Below are 18506 nucleotides of genomic sequence, written 5' to 3'. Positions count from 1 at the left end.
GATGGCTGTTTCTTCCTTTGCAATATTTAATCTTTTTTTTTTGTCTGACTATACTGACTAAAACCGCTAGAACTTTGTTCGGTAGAAGCATGATGGTTGCTATCTTATTTCTGATGGTAAAGAAAATGCTTCTAACATTTCATGTGTATGTCATTTTCAATGGTGAAATATTAGAAGCATTTCCTTTAGTGGGTTGAGGAAGATTCCTTCTGTTCCTAGTTTGATAACAGCTTTTAATCATGAATGAGGATTGAATTTTATGTTTTTCTACATAGGTTAAGATATCTACATCTTAAATATATAGAATGTCCCTTTACTAAAAACTCATAATTCTATAATTCAAAGATAAATTGTTTTACTATTGTGATCATACTATATATACATGATATTATTTTTAAATATTAACATGATCTTGGGAATATTTTATTTTATGCTTGATTTTTCCACAAAAGCGTGTCTTTTTCTTTTTCTTTCTTTCTTTTTTTTTAAATTGAGACTCTGTTTCTCAGGCTGGAGTATAGTGGTGCAATCACAGCTCACTGCAGCCTTGAAACCCCCGGGCTCAAGTGATCCTCCTGTCTTAGCCTCCTAAGTAGCTGAGACCATAGCTGTGCCACCATGCCTGACTAATTTTTAATTTTTTTGTAGAGACAAGATGTCCCTATGTTGTCCAGGCTGGTCTCAAACTTCTAGGCTCAAGCAATCCTCCCACCTCAGCCTTCCAAAGTGCTGGGATTACAGGTGTGAGCCACCGTGCTAGACAAAAGCATGGCTTTTAATGACTGCAGTTTTTAATCTTATGTACATATCACACATTTCCAAATTTGAGACCACTAATGTTTTTAATTTCAAATATGTATATAAATATGTATTCTTATTTCCAATTATTTCCTTGGCATGAATTCCTAGAAATTGATCTATTTAGTATAAGTGCTTTTTTAGCTATATGTCCACTAGTATGGTATGAGAATGCCCTGTTTATGCCAGTATTATCATCATTGAATATATTACTGCTGATGTTGTGGTAATACATTTAAACCAATGTGATGGGCAAAAAAATTATATTTTTACTTACATCTTTAAAATTACTGGTGATCTCTGTTATTGACAAGCTGGGCATAAAAAAGTAAATTAATAGAATTACTGGTCTTTATTGGCCATCTGCATCTTTTTGTTTTGTGAAATGATTTTCTCTTTTGTTTATATTTTGACATATATTTTATCTTTATATGTAAAGGTATTAACTCCAAATATATTTAACTTGAACCTAACCAATTCTGCCAATTGTTTTCTTTTATGGTTTCTTTCATTCCTTTTATACTTAGAAAATTCTTTCTTAATTAGATAAATACTTGTTTGTATTTTCTTGAAGGTGCATGAGGTTTGTTTGTTTGTTTGTTTTTTGTTCTAAGATGGAGTCTTGCTCTGTGGCCCAGGCTGGAGTGCAGTGGTGTGATCTCAGCTAACTGCAACCTCCACCTCCCAGGTTCAAGTGATTCTCCTGCCTCAGCCTCCCGAGTAGCTGGGATTACAGGTCCCCACCACCAAGCCCGGCTAATTTTTGTATTTTTAGTAGAGAGGGGGTTTCGCCATGTAGGCCAGGCTGGTCTCGAACTTCTGACATCCAGTGATCTGCCCACTTCAGCCTCCCAAAGTGCTGGGATTACAGGCATGAGCCACCAGGCCCAGCTGAAGGTGCCTAGTTTTATTTTAGATTTTGATGTATGTTTAAAAGTAGGAATAAAAATCTTTTTCCAAGTGTTTTTGATAATTGCCCCAATATCATTTATGAAATAGTCCTTTCTTTCCCACTGATTAGAAATGCCACTCACATTATATATTAAATCCTTAACCACATTAGAATTCATTTCTGGATTTTCTATTATGATCTATTTTGCCTATTATTGTGTCAGTATCATATAATTTTAACTATTAAATGTATAATTATAATATATAAATAATCTCCTATTTTATTACTTTTTTCTACTCTCATAACTATATTCTTCCAGATTTACTTTGTAATCACTTTTCCAAGTTCTAAAACAGACCTCTTGAAATGGTAATGGGATCCTTTAAAATTTTACCATAGTTAGTCTTTCTAGCTAGGAAAGTGTTTTTTATCTTGCCTTTTTTTCAAATTTTTAAAAAAATGATCTTCAATAAAGTTCTATCATTTCCTGCATATACTTTCTGAATATTTTTATGTTTAGTCCTTGATAGTTCACAAATTGGTATTTTTATGTTTTTTCCATTAATTTTTATGACCAAGTTTTTATATATTAAAAAAAAACATTAATTGTATAATTTTTATCAGATAACTTAGTGAACTCTTTTGTTTTCATTTCATTATCTTGAATTTTCTAGGGAGACAAAAGTGTCCTTTGTAAAGAATAAACCTCTCTTCTTTCATATTAGTAGACCTTTTTCTGCTTCTTTTCATAGTTAACTAGCCAAAATTTTGTTTCCTGGTGACAATTTAATATTCCTCTACAATAGAAGAAAACAGTCTCCTTATATCTGTATAGTACATGTATTAGCTGTAGTAAAATAAGAACTCCAGGGCATGCTGTATAACTCAAAGAAAGTAAGGAAGTGGCACTCTTGCTATAAACAACCTTGGTAGAATTACAAAGAATATTAGTTGTGGTGTGATGCTGCCCTCAAGTGGTTTCATCAAAAAAGGGTGGATGGAAAACAAGACCATATAACTGACTTCAGATGTCAGCCATTTAGTTCCAGAAATATCCAGAATGAGGCTGTAGATAGGGAAGATGGCTGGAGGATCTGTTTAGAAGCAGAAGGTGGATATAGGATATAAATTAATGCTGTTTGGGTTTTTACTATTAATGTGATTTCATTAATACTTACAGAATGGATTATACCAGTAAACCATATTTAACTGTCTCAGATAAGCCCTCCTTAGACATGGAATTGATTGACTAACTTCCTTTGGTGTGTCATGGGAAGCTTTTGGCCATGAGATTGTCAGGAACTTAAGTTCAGATAAATCTCTTTTAGGAAGCTAGTTCATACCACAAGTTCTCTTAAGGCATATCAAGTTAGCACCAAGCAAAGGGATGTTCCCTTGCTGCCTGCATACCAATTATGTAGTTAACCGTGGGAGACATTACTACCTGAAAACTCCGTACTATTCTTTTCTTATGCCATTCAGCGTCACTTAACCGAAAAGTCAATACCCAGGATGAGAAACCATTGCTCTCCCTTCAGGATGGCTTTCTTTTTTGGGAACTTGGCTTTTTGAGTAGTTCTTCATCTGAGCTTATATTTTTCTTTTTCTCTTTCTACTCAAAAACTTATTGAAGAATTGGGGGCAAGTTTATGTTCCTTCCTGTGACTTAGAAACTGTTAAAGCTGTTAGACAGCTAGCCAAGATTCTAAAGAAACCCAGACAAGGCAGGGTGGAGACCGAGAGGAGAAATTTATTCCAGAAATTAACTGTTAGCAGTAGTGTTTCTTAATACATAAGCTATATCATACTCCTCAAGTAGATTCTTTGCTTAAAACTTTCACTGTAAATAATTTTATAGCAACCATGTGAATAACTTAAGAATAATAGAATCAGTCTCATTTGTAGGCACTGTAGACCATCTCCATTCCCTACATGTCAGAGACTCTGGGGGATGAATTGGAGATATTAAGAGGTAAAATGATGCAGAGAAGACCAAGGTCAGCAGAAGTCAAATACTTCTATTTCTTTAAAATTTTGCTTAGGCTACGCCTGGCTATTTTGAAGTGTAAGTCCATAAGATATTTTCCTCCATTGATTAATCTTTATTGATAAAGTATTAGCCGTTACAGCTCTTTTGGGATATTTGGCTATTCCTCGGTGTCCTAGATAATACTAAAATTTATTGTACTTTTGCCTTTGTTCCAGAACTATGCTACATGCTCTATATGCACAGTACAATGAAGAGCTACAGAGTTTAAAATGTGATTGAAAAACCCAGCTGTATCTAATGACTGATTACATTAACTATCTAGATCTCTTTGGATAACTTTTTGTTTTTTTCTTATTCCTTTATATTTCTTATTTCTTTTCAGATTTATTTATTGATGATAAAGGAATACTTTTTGTAAGTAGTAGAAAACACCTACCAACTTTGCCTACTCTCTTGAGTAGACTAAAACTGTTTTTGGTAAAGGATCCTCTTTTAGATTTCAAAGGACAGATCTTCACAGAAGCTAATTTTTCCAGGTACTTACTTAATTGACCAATGCTGTAAATATTTTTAAGAGGTGAAAATGTTTTAGTATGATCACAAGCTTAGATGTTATCAACAATGTTTTTTTTTGTTTTGTTTTGAGATGAGTCTTGCTCTGTCGCCCAGGCTGGAGTACAATGGCGCAATCTCGGCTCACTGCAACCTCCGCCTCCTGGGCACATGCGATTCTCCTGCCTCAGCCTTGCTGAGACTACAGGCGTGCGCCACTGTGCCCAGCTAATTTTTGTATTTTTAGTAGAGACATGGTTTCACCATGTTGGCCAGGCTGGTCTTGAACTCCTGACCTCAGGTGATCCACCCGCCTCGGCCTCCCAAAGTGCTGGGATTACAGGCGTGAGCCACTGCACCCGGCCAATAACTTTTATCATCGTTTTACCTCAACTTTAATTTTAATGATTATGTGTTTTGGTTGGCTACATTTAGTATGTAACTTGCTTTTAGTAAACACTAATTAATGTATTTTTTTTTAAGGGAATGTTTCTCTCTTCAAGAAACTTTGGAAGCTTTTGTGAAAGAAGATTTTTGTATGGATAAAGTGAACTTTTGTCAAGAGAAACTAGAAGATACAATATGTTTAAATGAGGTTGTAATACTGGCTTTCAATAATATTTTAGTAAAAGTAGTGAGGCACATTTTTGTAAAATTTGTGTAATATACATTGTCTACAATTGTCAAATTAAAAAGATTTTATAATGGAATGAACATGTATCAATTAAGAAGTCAAATTTACTTCTAAATAGTGGTTCTCAGCCTTGGCTGTATGTTGGAATTACCTGAATAGTTAAAAAAAAATGTTGAAGCCTGAGATATATTCTGATAAATTGGTCTGGTGTGCAGGCCAGTCATAGGGAACTTTAAAATCTCTTCCAATAATTGTAATCAATATACCTGGTATAGGAAATTAAGTAGTCATGTCTAGTTTAAAAATTGACACCTGAACTAGAAATATTGATTTGTGAGTTATACACAAAAAATAGTACTTGAGCTAATGAGAATATTGCAAGAGTAAGAATATAGAGGGTCCAAGACTGAATTTTAGTTTTCTGCCAGTGTTTAACAAGGATGATAGCATCTTTTGCATATTAAAGGCCAAACTTCTCAAAGATGCATTTAGTTTCAATAGCACACAAAATGGTCATAATATCAGTATGTAAAGAATTCTAGCTATTGCGATTGCAATAACTTTTTGCAGCTGGACAAGCTCAGAAATCTAGGCCCATATTGATTAGATGCGTTCACAAAGCTACTTTAAAAAAACATTTTTTGGCCGGGCGCGGTGGCTCACGCCTGTGATCCCAGCACTTTGGGAGGCCGAGGTGGGCAGATCACGAGGTCAGGAGATCGAGACCATCCTGGCTAACATGGTGAAACTCTGTCTCTACTAAAAATACAAAAAATTAGCCAGGCATAGTGGTGGGCGCCTGTAGTCCCAGCTACTCGGGAGGCTGAGGCAGGAGAATGGCGTGAACCCAGGAGGCGGAGCTTGCAGTGAGATCGCACCACTGCACTCCAGCCTGGGTGACAGAGCGAGACTCCATCTCAAAAACAAAACACAAAAAACATTTTTTTAGGACAACTTAAAATGTTTTATATTTGGAGATTTTAATGGACTTAAAGCACTTAAGGGGTTTCCTTACAATAAAAATTTTAACATGATGGTAAAAAGGTTAATTCACCAATAGGCCCCATTCCTCCAGTACCTCTTGCTTCCCAGGTTAACCCTGAGAGTTGTGGACTTAGTCTCTCTTGTTGAGGAGTCAAGTTCTGTTGGAATGAAAGAGAAACATACTCCATGGATCACAGTAAAGATCTATTCCATTCCATGATCTCATTTCACTTCTCACCATTTATTATCTCTCATCTACTGCAGTGACTGTTTTTAATTTAAAATGTTTACAATTTGCTATTAGCCAAAAAGAAGCTATTTCTGCATCTAGGGATATTGTACACCACTAATGTAATGAGTGACCATAAAATACAATACTCAGAGAGAACATTGCTTATAATAGAACGTATTTTTAGCTGCTACATTTCTGTTTTTTTAAAGTATATATAGCTTTAACAATTTTGAATGTGGATTTAGTTTAAAATTTGGCACATCATTTAAGCAAATTTTGTCCACTTATGATTTCGAAAATATTTATTTGGAAAGCCTCTCTAAAAACTTTTTTAAACTATGTTTTTTCAGCCGTCAAGTTTTCTTATTGAGTATGAATTCTTAATACCTCCAAGCCTCAAACCAGAAATTGATATTCCATCACTCTCAGAACTGAAGGAGTTATTAAACCCAGTGCCAGAAATAATAAACTATGTAGATGAAAAGGAAAAGCTTTTTGAAAGAGGTGAGAATTAATTGTAAAATGTATTACTTGTAAAAACCACTTAAGAATGTTTGTTACATAGGTTCTTGTTTATTAAAATTTTTCTGAACCTCCAGATTTTGCAAAAATGTTCTGCAAGTTACATGTTGAAATCTCAGGATTATTTTTGATGAGATTATTTTCTCATTGTCATTTTCTTGTTGTTGTTGTTGTTGTTGTTGTCGAGACAAAATTTCGCTCTTGTTGCCCAGGCTGGAGTGCAATGGCAAGATCTCAGCTCACCACAACCTCCGCCTCCCAGGTTCAAGCGATTCTCCCACCTCAGCCTCCCGAGTAGCTGGGATTACAGGCATGCACCACCACACCTGGCTAATTTTGTATTTTTAGTAGAGATGGGGTTTCTCCATGTTGATCAGGCTGGTCTTGAACTCCTGACCTCAGGTGATCTGCCCGCCTCGGCCTCCCAAAGTGCTAAGATTGTAGGCATGAGCCACTGCACCCAGCCGTCATTCTCTTTGTATGACTTTCAGGTTTAAAACGTCTCTGAAATTTAACCATTTCAAGATAATTATACAAATAAAACTAAAACACCTATGACTATACAAATTTTTGAAGAGTTGTTTTCTTATAAACAATAAAAACATTATCAACTTCTATACTGACATTAGTTAACTATGGAGAGGCTCACCATAAAGAGCTCAGAGTATGGATTCGTGGAGTCAATGACTAGGAGAGTCATAACTTAGAACTTAGATGGTTTCATCCCATTTAGTCTTAGTAAATTTAGTAAATATTATTGAGTTATTTTTAATGACAGTATAAGCCCAAATATTTAACTGCCCTCTCATAAATTTCATTTAAAATGATCAAAGATATATAATATCATGGAGGAAAGGAAGGGGGATCTGCGATATCCATTGAGAACAGGGATGCTTGCCATGAACAGACCACAGACTTGAAGGAATTCTTACGATTAAAACTAAATCAGGGAATTACTGTTCTGCCTGCAAATCAAAGCAAGGGAATGAAAAGCCAACCTGGGAAAGTAGATCAAATCCATACCAGAACTTGCAAATATAGTAGATCTCAAAATGCAGGGTGGGCCATAGGCTTATTGGCAGGACACAAATCTCAGCTCCGTAAATCAAATGTAAAGGACAACAAATGACTTTACTGAGTGATTATACTGTTAAACTCCCAGCCTTCACTTGACTCGGCTGCTGTACTAAGTAAAACAGAGTCACTGCCACAGAGGACTTCTAACAAGGAAACTTATACACATTATTGAAAGGTCAGGGGGTAGGCAGTGTCCCAGGTACCTTTGGGTTGTCACAACAATAATAATAAAAGTGCTTAGTACAGCAATAAAGTTGCCTGCTACAGGGATATCTCAAGCCATAACATCCTTCCTATTTCCCATGCTCAAAGTGTAAGTAAAACTATATAGATTTGCCTACTCTGAACATTCAATAAAAAAGGAATCATATAATATGTCATCTGTGACTTATTTCACTTAGCATAATATTTTCAAGTTTATTGGCATTATCCAACGTATCAGTACTTCATTCATTTTTATGGCTAAACAATATTCCATTGTATGGCTATAGCACATTTTGTCTATCTGTACATCTGTTGATAGATATTTGGGCTGTCCTTTTAACTTAAAAGTAATCCTGCTATGAACATTCATGTACAAGTTTTTGTCCACACATATGTTTTCATTTCTCTTGGATATATACCTAGGAGTGGAATTGCTAGATCAAATGGTAACTCTATGTTTAACTTTTTGAGGAATTGCCAGACTGTTTTCCAAAGTAACTACACTATTTCATTCCCACCAACAATGTGTGAGGGTTCCAAATTACCTACATCCTCTCCAAAACTTGTTATTATATAACTTTTTTATCGCCATCCTACTAGGTGTGAAGTGATATCTCATTGTGGTTTTGATTTGCATTTTCCAGATGGATAAGGATGTCAAACACCTTTTCACATACTGTTGGCTATTTGTATATCTTCTTTGGAGAAATGTCTACTCAGATCCTTTGCCCATTTTAGTTGGGTTATTTTTCTTTTTATTATTGAGTTGTAAGCTTGTGTCATTTGTTTTTGTTTCTCAATTCCTCCTTTTCTGCCTTCTTTGGGATTACTTGAATTTTTTAAGGAAGTGTTTTTGTGACAAAATTGTACATACTTCAGGTGTATAACATATTTTGATATACATATACATTGTGAAATATTTACCATAAAAAAGCTAATTAACTTATCATCATCTCATAGTTACTTTTTTGTATGTGATGAGAATATTTAAGATCTACTTTCTTAGTAAATTTAAAGTGTACAATGCATTATTATTAACTATAGTCACCATACTGTATGTTAGGTCTCTAGAACCTGTTCATCTTATAATAGAAAGTGTATACCCTTTAACCAACTTCTCCTCATTTCCCCTACACCCTAGCCCCTGGTAACCACTCTTCTATTCTCTGTTTCTATAAGTTCGGCTTTTTAGATTCCACATAGAAGTGGTAATATTAGGCAGATTTGTCAATACCTAATTTTTTGAGAGTTTTTATCATGAAAGGGTTTTGAATCTTGTCAGATGCCTTTCTTGCATCTATTGAGATGATCATATGGTTCTTGTCCCTCGTTCTATTAATGTAGTGTATCACATTTATTGATTTGCATATGTTGAACTATCCTTGCATCTCAGGGGAAAAAAATCTCACTTGATCATGGTATATAATCCTTGTAATATGCCGTCAGATACAATTTACTAGTATTTTGTTGAAGATTTTTAATTTTTTTAGAATTCTTATTTTTTATTGAATAATCATGGTTTTAAAATTTTTTATCCTTTTGATATGGTATATTACATTGAGTTTGGGATTTTCAATCAACCTTGCATTACTGCAATAAATCCCACTTTTTTACTAGATTATTAATTTTGTGTCAATATTCATAAGAAATATTGGTCTGTAGTTTTATTTTCTTGTGATGTCTTTGGTTTCAGTATCAGAATAATATGGGCCTCATAGAATGACTTAAGCATCATTAACTTTACTTCTATTTTTAGGAGGAGCTAAGTAATTGATGTTGATTTTTTTAAAATGTTTAGTGGAATTCATCATTGAAGGCAACTGAGCAAGCGTATTGCTTTGTGAGTAGTTCTTGATTACCACAGAGTTATATTTTATGACAAAAATACAAAGATATATAGTTTAAAAAACTAGGTAGATAAATTGTTCCACAGTCACTGAAGCTCTGTTCATGTTTTCTTTCTTTCTTTTTTTATTGTTGAGACAGGGTCTCACTATGTTGCTCAGGCTGGTCTTGAACTCCTGGGCTCAAGTGATCCTCCCACCTTGGCCTCCCAAAGTGCTAGGATTACAGGCATGAGCCACTACACCTGGCCTCTGTTCATTTTTATTCAATTTTTTTCTTATTGTTTTTCAGATTGTGTAATTTCTGTTGCTCTGTCTTCAATTTCACTGACTCTTATGTCACCTCTAATTTTCTGTTAAGCTCATTCAGTGAATTTTTTACTTCAGATATTGTTTTAAAATTTCCATTTGTTCTTTTTTATAGTTTCTCTTTCACTGCTGAGAATTTCTATTTGCTCATTCATTACAACCATATTTTTCTTTACATCTTTTAGCATAGTGATTACTATGTTATGTTATTACTGCTTTGAAATCTTTGGATACTAATTTCAAAATCTGAGTCATCTCATGGTTAGTGTCCAGTAACATATTTTTTTGTAGAGAATGAGTCACATGTTCCTGTTTTTTCATTCTACTAACTGTATTTGGATTGTATCCTGACATTGCACCTGATACATTACAGAAACTGTAGTTTGCTATCTTCCTTTGAAGAGAGTCGACTTTCTCTGTTTGTTTTAATAGGCTGTTAACTTGGCTGAACTCAAACTATAAACTTTGTCTCTACTATGGTGGGAAAGAGCTGAAATCTTTATATAGCCTTAGCTGATATGCTTTCAATCTGCCCCATACATGTGTAGTTCAGGGATCATCCAGAGATTTTTTAAGCAGAGTTTATACATAGAGTTTGGGGCTCCTCCTCTGTTGCTCTCTCTTTTCCTGGATTTCTTCCTTTATCTTCCAGCTGCTGTGGTAACCCTGAACTCTAATTCATGTAGAACTGTCCTCTCATTCTTCAAGATAATAAGACCACAGATTTTTATCCAAGTTCTAGTTGACCCAGCTAGTACGAAATATGTCATCCCTTCAAGTGAAAAGCTGTAAAAATGGGAAATTCACTCAGTATCAATTCCCTTCCCATTTCTGCATGCTTTAGACTGTAGTACCTTCAGATAGTCATTTTACATAGTTTGTTGAGAGTTATAAATGCTATCTACAGGAAGATTGGTCCAATAGGAGCTATTGCTAGAAGTAAAACTCCATTCTGTTTTATATACTAGTTTTTAAATTTTCTTTTTATCTCCTAGGATTCTATTAATATCTCTGAAATGTAGATGAATATTCCTTCCCCTTCTCCTCACTTTATGTATTTTATAGATGGCTACTGTCATTCTATAGGATTTAGAGGGGAGAACTAATATATGTGTTTCCTGCTTTCTTAAAACAAAAGCCAGATAATTTTGAAAGAAATCAATTATAACCTCATTTGAAACATAGGCTAATCTAATTAAAGCTAAGATCTTAGCGATCTCTAAGATCCTCAAGATCTCAGCTTTAATTAGATTAATCTGTTTGAAAGGGAGAAAGTTTTGGTGAAAAAATATGCTAAATTCCTTATTTTATAAATAGGAGAACTGAGACGTAGCCTTTTTTAATTGATAGAAAAAATATTGAAATACATGTATTATAAAATTAATGATAATGCATTGATTTACAATAAGATGTTCTCAGCCCAAAAGCTTCTTAAGCTGATAAGCAACTTCAGCAAAGTCTCAGGATACAAAATCAATGTGCAAAAATTGCTAGCATTCCTATACACCAACAACAGGCAAGCAGTTTGTATGGAACCAAAAAACAGCCCAAATAGCCAAGATAATCCTAAGCAAAAAGAACAAAGCTGGAGGCATCATGCTACCCAACTTCAAACTATGCTACAAGGCTCCAGTAACCAAAACAGCATGTTACTGGTACAAGAACAGACACATAGACCAATGGAACAGAATAGAGAACTCAAATAAGACCACACACCTACAACCATCTGATCTTCAACAAAACTGACAAAAACAAGCAATGGGGTAAGGACTCCTTATTTAATAAATGGTGCTGGGGGAGCTGGCGGAGCTATATGCAGAAAACTGAAACTGGACCCCTTTCTTACACCATATACAAGAATTAACTCAAGATGGATTAAAGACTTAAATGTAAAACCCAAAACTATAAAAATCCTAGAAAAAAATCTAGGCAATACCATTCAGGACATAGGCATGGGAAAAGATTGCATGACGAAAACGCCAAAAGCAATTGCAATAAAAGCAAAAATTGACAAATGGGATCTAATTAAACTAAAGAGCTTCTGCACAGCAAAAGAAACTATCATCAGAGTGAAGAGACAGCCTACAAAATGGGAGAAAATTTTTGCAATCTCTCCATTTGACAAAGGTCTAATATCCCGAGTCTACAAAGAACTTAAACAAATGTACAAGAAAAAAGCAAACAACCCCCAAAAGTGGGCAAAGGACGTGAACAGACACTTCTCAAAAGAAGACATATGGCCAGGTGCAGAGCCTCACACCTGTAATCCCAGCACTTTGGGAGGCCAAGGTGGGCAGATCACTTGAGGTCAGGAGTTTGAGACCAGCCTGGCCAACATGGTGAAACCCCGTCTCTACTAAAAATACAAAAATTAGCCAGGCATGGTTGTAAGTGCCTGTAGTCCCAGTTACTGGGGAGGCTGAGGCAGGAGAATCACTTGAACTTGGGAGGTAGAGGTTGCAGTGAGCTAAGACCACGCCATTGCACTCCATCCAGCCTGGGTGACAGAGCAAGACTCTGTCTCAAAAAGAAGAAAAAGAAGAAGACGTACATGCAGCCAACAAACATGAAAAAAAAACCTTAACATCCCTGATCATTAGAGAAATGCAAATCAAAGCCACAATGAAATAACATCTCATGCCAGTCAGAATGGCTATTATTAAAAAGTAAAAAAACAATAGATGTTGGTAAGGTTGTGGAGAAAAAGGAATGAATGCTTTTACACTGTTGTTGGGAGTGAAAATTAGTTCAACCATTGTGGAAGACAGTGTGGCGATTCCTCAAAGACCTAGAAGCAGAAATACCATTTGACCCAGCAATCCCATTACTGGGTATATATATACCCAAAGGAATATAAATTATCCTATTATAAAGATAGATGCATGTGTATGTTCATTGCAGCACTATTCACAATAGCAAAGACATGGAACCAACCTAAATGCCCATCAATGATAGACTGGAAAAAGAAAATGTGGTACATATACACCATGGAATACTATACAGCCATAAAAAGGAATGAGATTATGTCCTTTGCAGGTACATGGATGGGGTTGGAAGTCCTTGTCCTCAGCAAACTAATGCAGGAACAGAAAGCCAAACACCACATGTTCTCACTTATAAGTGGGAGCTGAACGATGAGAACACATGGACACATGGTGGACGGAACAACACACACTAGGGCTTATCGGGGGTGATGTAGGGGGAGGAAGAGCATCAGGAAGAATAGCTAATGGATGCTGGGCTTAATACCTCGGTGATGAGATGATCTGTGCAGCAAACCACCATGGCACATGCTTACCTATGTAACAAACGTGCACATCCTGTACATGTACCCCTGAACTTAAAAGTTGATAACATGTATAACTTCTGAACTAACAGAGAAAAAAAAAATAAAAAAAACTTTGAGCAATAGAATTAATTCTGTGGAAATAAAGAAGAGCAAAGCAAGGAAAAGGCATTGGAAGCATAAAATAAGATTATAAAAGTATCACCTTTGTTTGAGTAAATATAAATTGGTTAAGCTTCTCTATTAAAAGAGAGATCAATTCTTAGATTAAATTTAAAAAGCAAATATAATGACCATATGTCTGATTCAAAGATCCTACCAACTGCAAGATGTATTATCAACTTAAGAATTTTTAGGGAAGAAAGAAACATTCTAAATGCACATACAGATTATAAGATGCATCATAATTTCAAAAAACAAAATACAAAGTCTATGTCTTTCAATAAAGAACCACTGAGTATGTTGTTTTCAAGAGTTGAGCCTTAAGAAAAGAAGGAAAAAAAGCCAAAAGGTAAAAAATAAAGGGATAGGCAAAATGTGTCAGACAGCTGGGGAAGGAAGGCAGGAAGGCAGGAAGGAAGGCAGGAAAGGAGGGAGGGAGGGAGGGAGGGAGGGGAAAATAAAAGGATAGGCAAAATGTGTCAGACATCTAGGGTGGAGAAGGAAGGAGGGAAGGGAGGGAAGAAAGAAAGCCAAAAGATAAAAAAGGGATAGGCAAAATGTGTCAGACAGCTGGAAACAAAGGAGGGAGGGAGAGAGGAAGGGAGGGAGGAAGGAAGGAAGGAAGGAAGGGGGGGAGGGGAGGGAGGGAAGGAAGGAAGGAAAGGAAGGAAGGAAAAAAGGAAGGCAGGCAAAAGATAAAAAAGGGATAGGTAAAATGTGTCAGGCAGCTGGAAAGGAAGGAGGAAGTGAGGAAAAAAGGAAGAGAGGGAGGGAGGGAAGAAGGGAGATAAAAGAAAGAAAAAAGAAAGCCAAAGTGGCAGTATTCATATAGACAAGTAGAGTTCCAGCTAAGCAAGGCATAGAAAGTCATCATATATTGATAGAGATGAAACCCTTCAAAGCGACCTCATTCTTTGAAGTTTGTGGCTTATGGATTGCCCACCCTATCTTACCTTCCAGTGATTATGTAGATTTTGCCATTTTTATTTTCCTTGGGTAATTCTGATTGACAGTTGAAGGGCAACAAGGAGTGTGCATGGGGGAATAGTTATTTACCTAAGTTAGCATTTTCTTCAGAAGTATAAATCTCTACTTCTCTCTAAAAGGAAAAATTGACATGCAATAAAACAATAAAGATACTTTAAAAGGAAAATGCCACTGAACAAGGTTACAGAAAATTAATTTAATGGTACATTTGCTAATAACAGAGTTTCTTCCTTTTCAGATCTTACTAACAAGCATGGAATTGAGGATATCGGGGATATAAAATTCAGCTCCACAGAGATTTTGACCATTCAAAGCCAGAGTGAACCAGAAGAGTGCAGTAAACCAGGTAGAAATTTTGATAAATCATTGAGCTTATTGGGGATTACCTATTTATGATGTAAAAGTACAGTACATTCACATATACAGTGTACTGTGAGTCAGTTTCCATGTTTAAAATTGGATTGTTATAATCCTGTCATTTTTTCTTATTTGCTCCTTTATATTTATTACTATTATTAACTTAGAATTCTACTGGCATCAAAACTGAATAATAGGCCTAGTGCGGTGGTTCACGCCTGTAATCCCAGCACTTTGGGAGGCTGAGGTGGGCGGATCACTTAAGATCAAGAGTTCAAGACCAGCCTGGTCAATATGACGAAACACCATCTCTACTAAAATTACAAAAATTAGCCAGGCAGGCATGGTGACACATGGCTGTAATCCCAGACACTCAGGAGGCTGAGGCACGAGAATGGCTTGAACTGGCGAGGTGGAGGTTGTAGTGAGCCGAGATTACACCACTGCACTCCAGCCTGGGCAACAGCTAGACTCTGTCTCAAAACAAACAAAAAAACCCCTGAATAACAAAAAGATGGCAGTTACAAAGAGTGTAGAAGAGGAATGGAGGAAATAGCATTAATATTAAAAGTAGAAACCTTAAAATATTATAGCTCAGTAAATAAAATTTCATATTTCATCTCAATATTAGCAATCTTGCTGACCACTGTCACATTTTTTTTAAATTTGAATTTTTAATCTCCCAAAGCAATGTTATCGTTCTCTATGTCATCATTATTGTTAATATTATTCTACCAAATTTTGAATCTTAGAATCATCTTTTGTTCCAGTACAATGCCAAAGTATGTTGCTTAACTATATTGATAGCCCTGATACTTAATTACATTTATAATTGGATCTTCTGAATTATCTATTTGAAAGTTTACTGCTTTATTTATGAAAGTAATAAAACCACACTTACTAGTTAGCAATACATGAGAATCACTTTTTCAAGCCCGCCCTATAGATATATAATTTTGTGCTAGGCCATCTAGAGTCCAGAGTCATTAAGGTGAATAATTACTCTTTATAATACAGTTTGTTTAACATCACTAATAATTAGTATGGAAATAAAAATAATAATTTTTTTCTTTCTTTGGAAATAAAAATAATTCTATTGCCTAAGTACTGACAACACAAGCTGTCAGAATCAAAAGCCTTAATACATATAAAGCTCTTGGAATTTATGTTAAACACAGTAAACTCAATAAAGTTTAGCTATTAATGTATGTTTTAAAAATCACCACGGTTGTAATTGAGACACAATGTTATATATATGTAATTCCTTATATAGATAGACATTTAAGACATTTTATATCTCAACTCAAATTTCTTTTTATTGAAATATTTTTGTTTTAACAGATGACCAAACATAATAGTTGCTTACAAAATGTTCTAAATTATACTTAATTTTTATTTATTTATTTTTTTTAGAGACAAAGGCTTGCTCTGTTGCCCAGGTTGGAGTACAGTGACACAATCACAGCTCATTGCAATCTCAAATTCCTGGGCTCAAGCAATCATTCCAGCTCAGCTTCCCAGGTAGCTAGGACTACAAGCATGTGCCACCACTGCTGGCTAATTTTGTACTTTTTGTAGAGACTGATCTTGCCATGTTGCCCAGGTCTTAAACTCCTGGACTCAAGTGATCCTCCTACCTCAGCCTCCCAAAGTGTTAGAATTACAGGTGTGAGCCACCACGCCTAGCCTACTTAATATTATTCAATGTTTACATAACTTTAATTTTCATATATTCCAGGAGAGTTAGAAATGCCACTAACTCCTCTATTCCTAACATGCCAACATTCTTCAGTGAATTCATTACGTACAGAACTTCAGACATTTCCATTATCTCCGGTTTGTAAAATGTAAGTAAAGATTATATCTAGAACCCATGTTGCAATTCAGAACAAGCAGTCTTTATTTAAATCTCTCCATATAAAAGCAATTTCCAAGATACCTCTATGAAAAAATTTAAGAGCTAGTACAGTGTCTGTAATAAGTAACTAAAAGGAATATATAAATTTATGTATATATTTGGTTTTATATGCAAAGAGTATCTTTAGAAGGGCACCCAAGAAACAAGTAATATTGCTTGTATCCAGAAAAGAACTAGGTAACCTAGCAATGTGTGTAGGAGATTTTTCACAGTATGGCTTTTATACATTTCAGTATTTTTAATGTGAATATATTATCATTAAAAATAAATAACTTAAAAAATTTTGAAGATCCTGGCATTGGAATAGTATGCTTAGGACATTGCCACTGGACACTTGCTAATGGCACTGTCTCTACTGGCAGTCACTGCCATGAAAGGCAATGTAGTGGTGTATTAGTTTGCTAGGGCTGCCCTAACAAATACCACAGATTAGATGACTTAAACAATAGAAATTTATTCCTTCACAGTTCTGGAGGTGAGAAGTGAAAGAACCAAGTGTCAGCCGGGTTGGTTTCATTCTAAGACCTCCCTCCTTGGCTTATAGATGTCCCTTTGCCTTCATATATTCTTTCCTCTATCATTGTCTATACCCCAATCTCCTGTTCTTATAAGGATACCAGTCACATTGTATTAATGGCCCTGTTTAACTTAATTACCTCTTTAAAGACCTTGTCTCCAAATACAGTCACATTCTGAGGTACTGAGGATTAGGTCTTCAACATAAGAATTTTGTGGGGACACAATTCAGCCCATAATAAGTGGTTAGAAGCTCTGAACTAGAGCCAGATTGCCTAGCTCTATCACTTTCTAACTGCAACCTTAATTGTTCTGTGCCTCAGGTTTTTTAAATCTACAATACTGGGATAATAATAGTATCTATAAGGTTGTTAAGAGGTCTACTAAAAGATTTGTCATAGGTCTGTGGCCAGAAGTAGCCAAAGATCACAGAGCAGTGTGGACAATCGTTGATCAATAGATTTGGCTATCAGTTTATTCCCATTAAGAGTGCAAGAGTCCTTGCTCTCTTATGGATGTCCTATCTCTAACAGAGGACAGCCACTGACCTTGTTCACCTCTTGTCAATGTGGTCTCAGTAATGGGTGGACCAGACATACAGAACCAAGGCTTGATTCGTAAACTTGTTCAATACCCCATCATTATTGCACAGAATAGTCTGAAATTGTAGAATTGATACTGCAGGGCTAGGTCATTATATTCTAGTTTGAGCCAAAACTGCATAGCTTAATAGCCCAGCATCCTTGCCCTTTGATAGAGTCTGAGATAGCTTTCATTGCTGTCTTAAACCATGCAGCACACATGTAGCTTAATGTTTTCTAAGATTGATTAGTCTGCTATCCTGGAATAAAGCCATTCCATTCCTCTGCTTCTTACGCCAGTTAAAAAATTGGGAACATAACCAGTACAATTAGTCTACTGTAAACCTAGAACTTAATGTGTCCTAAAATAACATATTTTCAGGAAGATGACAGTAAAGTCTACAAGTCTCTAATGAATTATTCCAGGACTGGAAACTGTGGGAACTGTGTGTGTTAGGTTTGAATTCTTGTTATAATTAGCTGATCTGCCAGAGGAGAGTGCTATTTGGATTACTGGGACCAGCTGGAGTCAAGGCTGTATAATTCATCACTGGCTGCTTAGGCTTCTATTAATGGTCTCAGGAAAGTGTCAAAGCATAAGACTGAGGGCCCTAAATATATCTTTATCTTCTGGCTAAGAATTATTTACATTTCTAGAGTA

General features: G+C 35.6%; 1 protein-coding gene across 16 annotated transcripts in view; it reads left to right on the top strand.

The window, feature by feature from the left end:
- The window catches only part of SHOC1 (shortage in chiasmata 1), a 108767-nt gene that overhangs the window by 32027 nt on the left and 58234 nt on the right, over positions 1-18506 (top strand). For 12 of the 16 annotated variants that reach the window (NR_109816.2, XM_006716975.3, NM_001378211.1 and 9 more), the window contains 5 exons: positions 4063-4216; positions 4716-4827; positions 6433-6586; positions 14712-14819; positions 16569-16677. Coding sequence is in view for 15 of the 16 variants with exons in the window: in XM_006716975.3 (XP_006717038.1) it covers positions 4063-4216; positions 4716-4827; positions 6433-6586; positions 14712-14819; positions 16569-16677 (637 nt within the window). In the remaining variant the exon portion in view is untranslated. Of the gene's footprint in view, positions 1-3374; positions 3756-4062; positions 4217-4715; positions 4828-6432; positions 6587-14711; positions 14820-16568; positions 16678-18506 lie in introns of those variants that run through there. The other 4 variants (NM_001378212.1, NM_001080551.3, XM_017014340.2 and 1 more) reach the window with 2 other exon arrangements.

Source organism: Homo sapiens, chromosome 9 (assembly GCF_000001405.40).
Source record: "Homo sapiens chromosome 9, GRCh38.p14 Primary Assembly".
NCBI classification, from domain to species: Eukaryota; Metazoa; Chordata; class Mammalia; order Primates; family Hominidae; genus Homo; species Homo sapiens.
The sequence above is the reverse complement of the archived record's forward strand: the minus strand, read 5'-3'. Positions and strand labels throughout refer to the sequence as shown.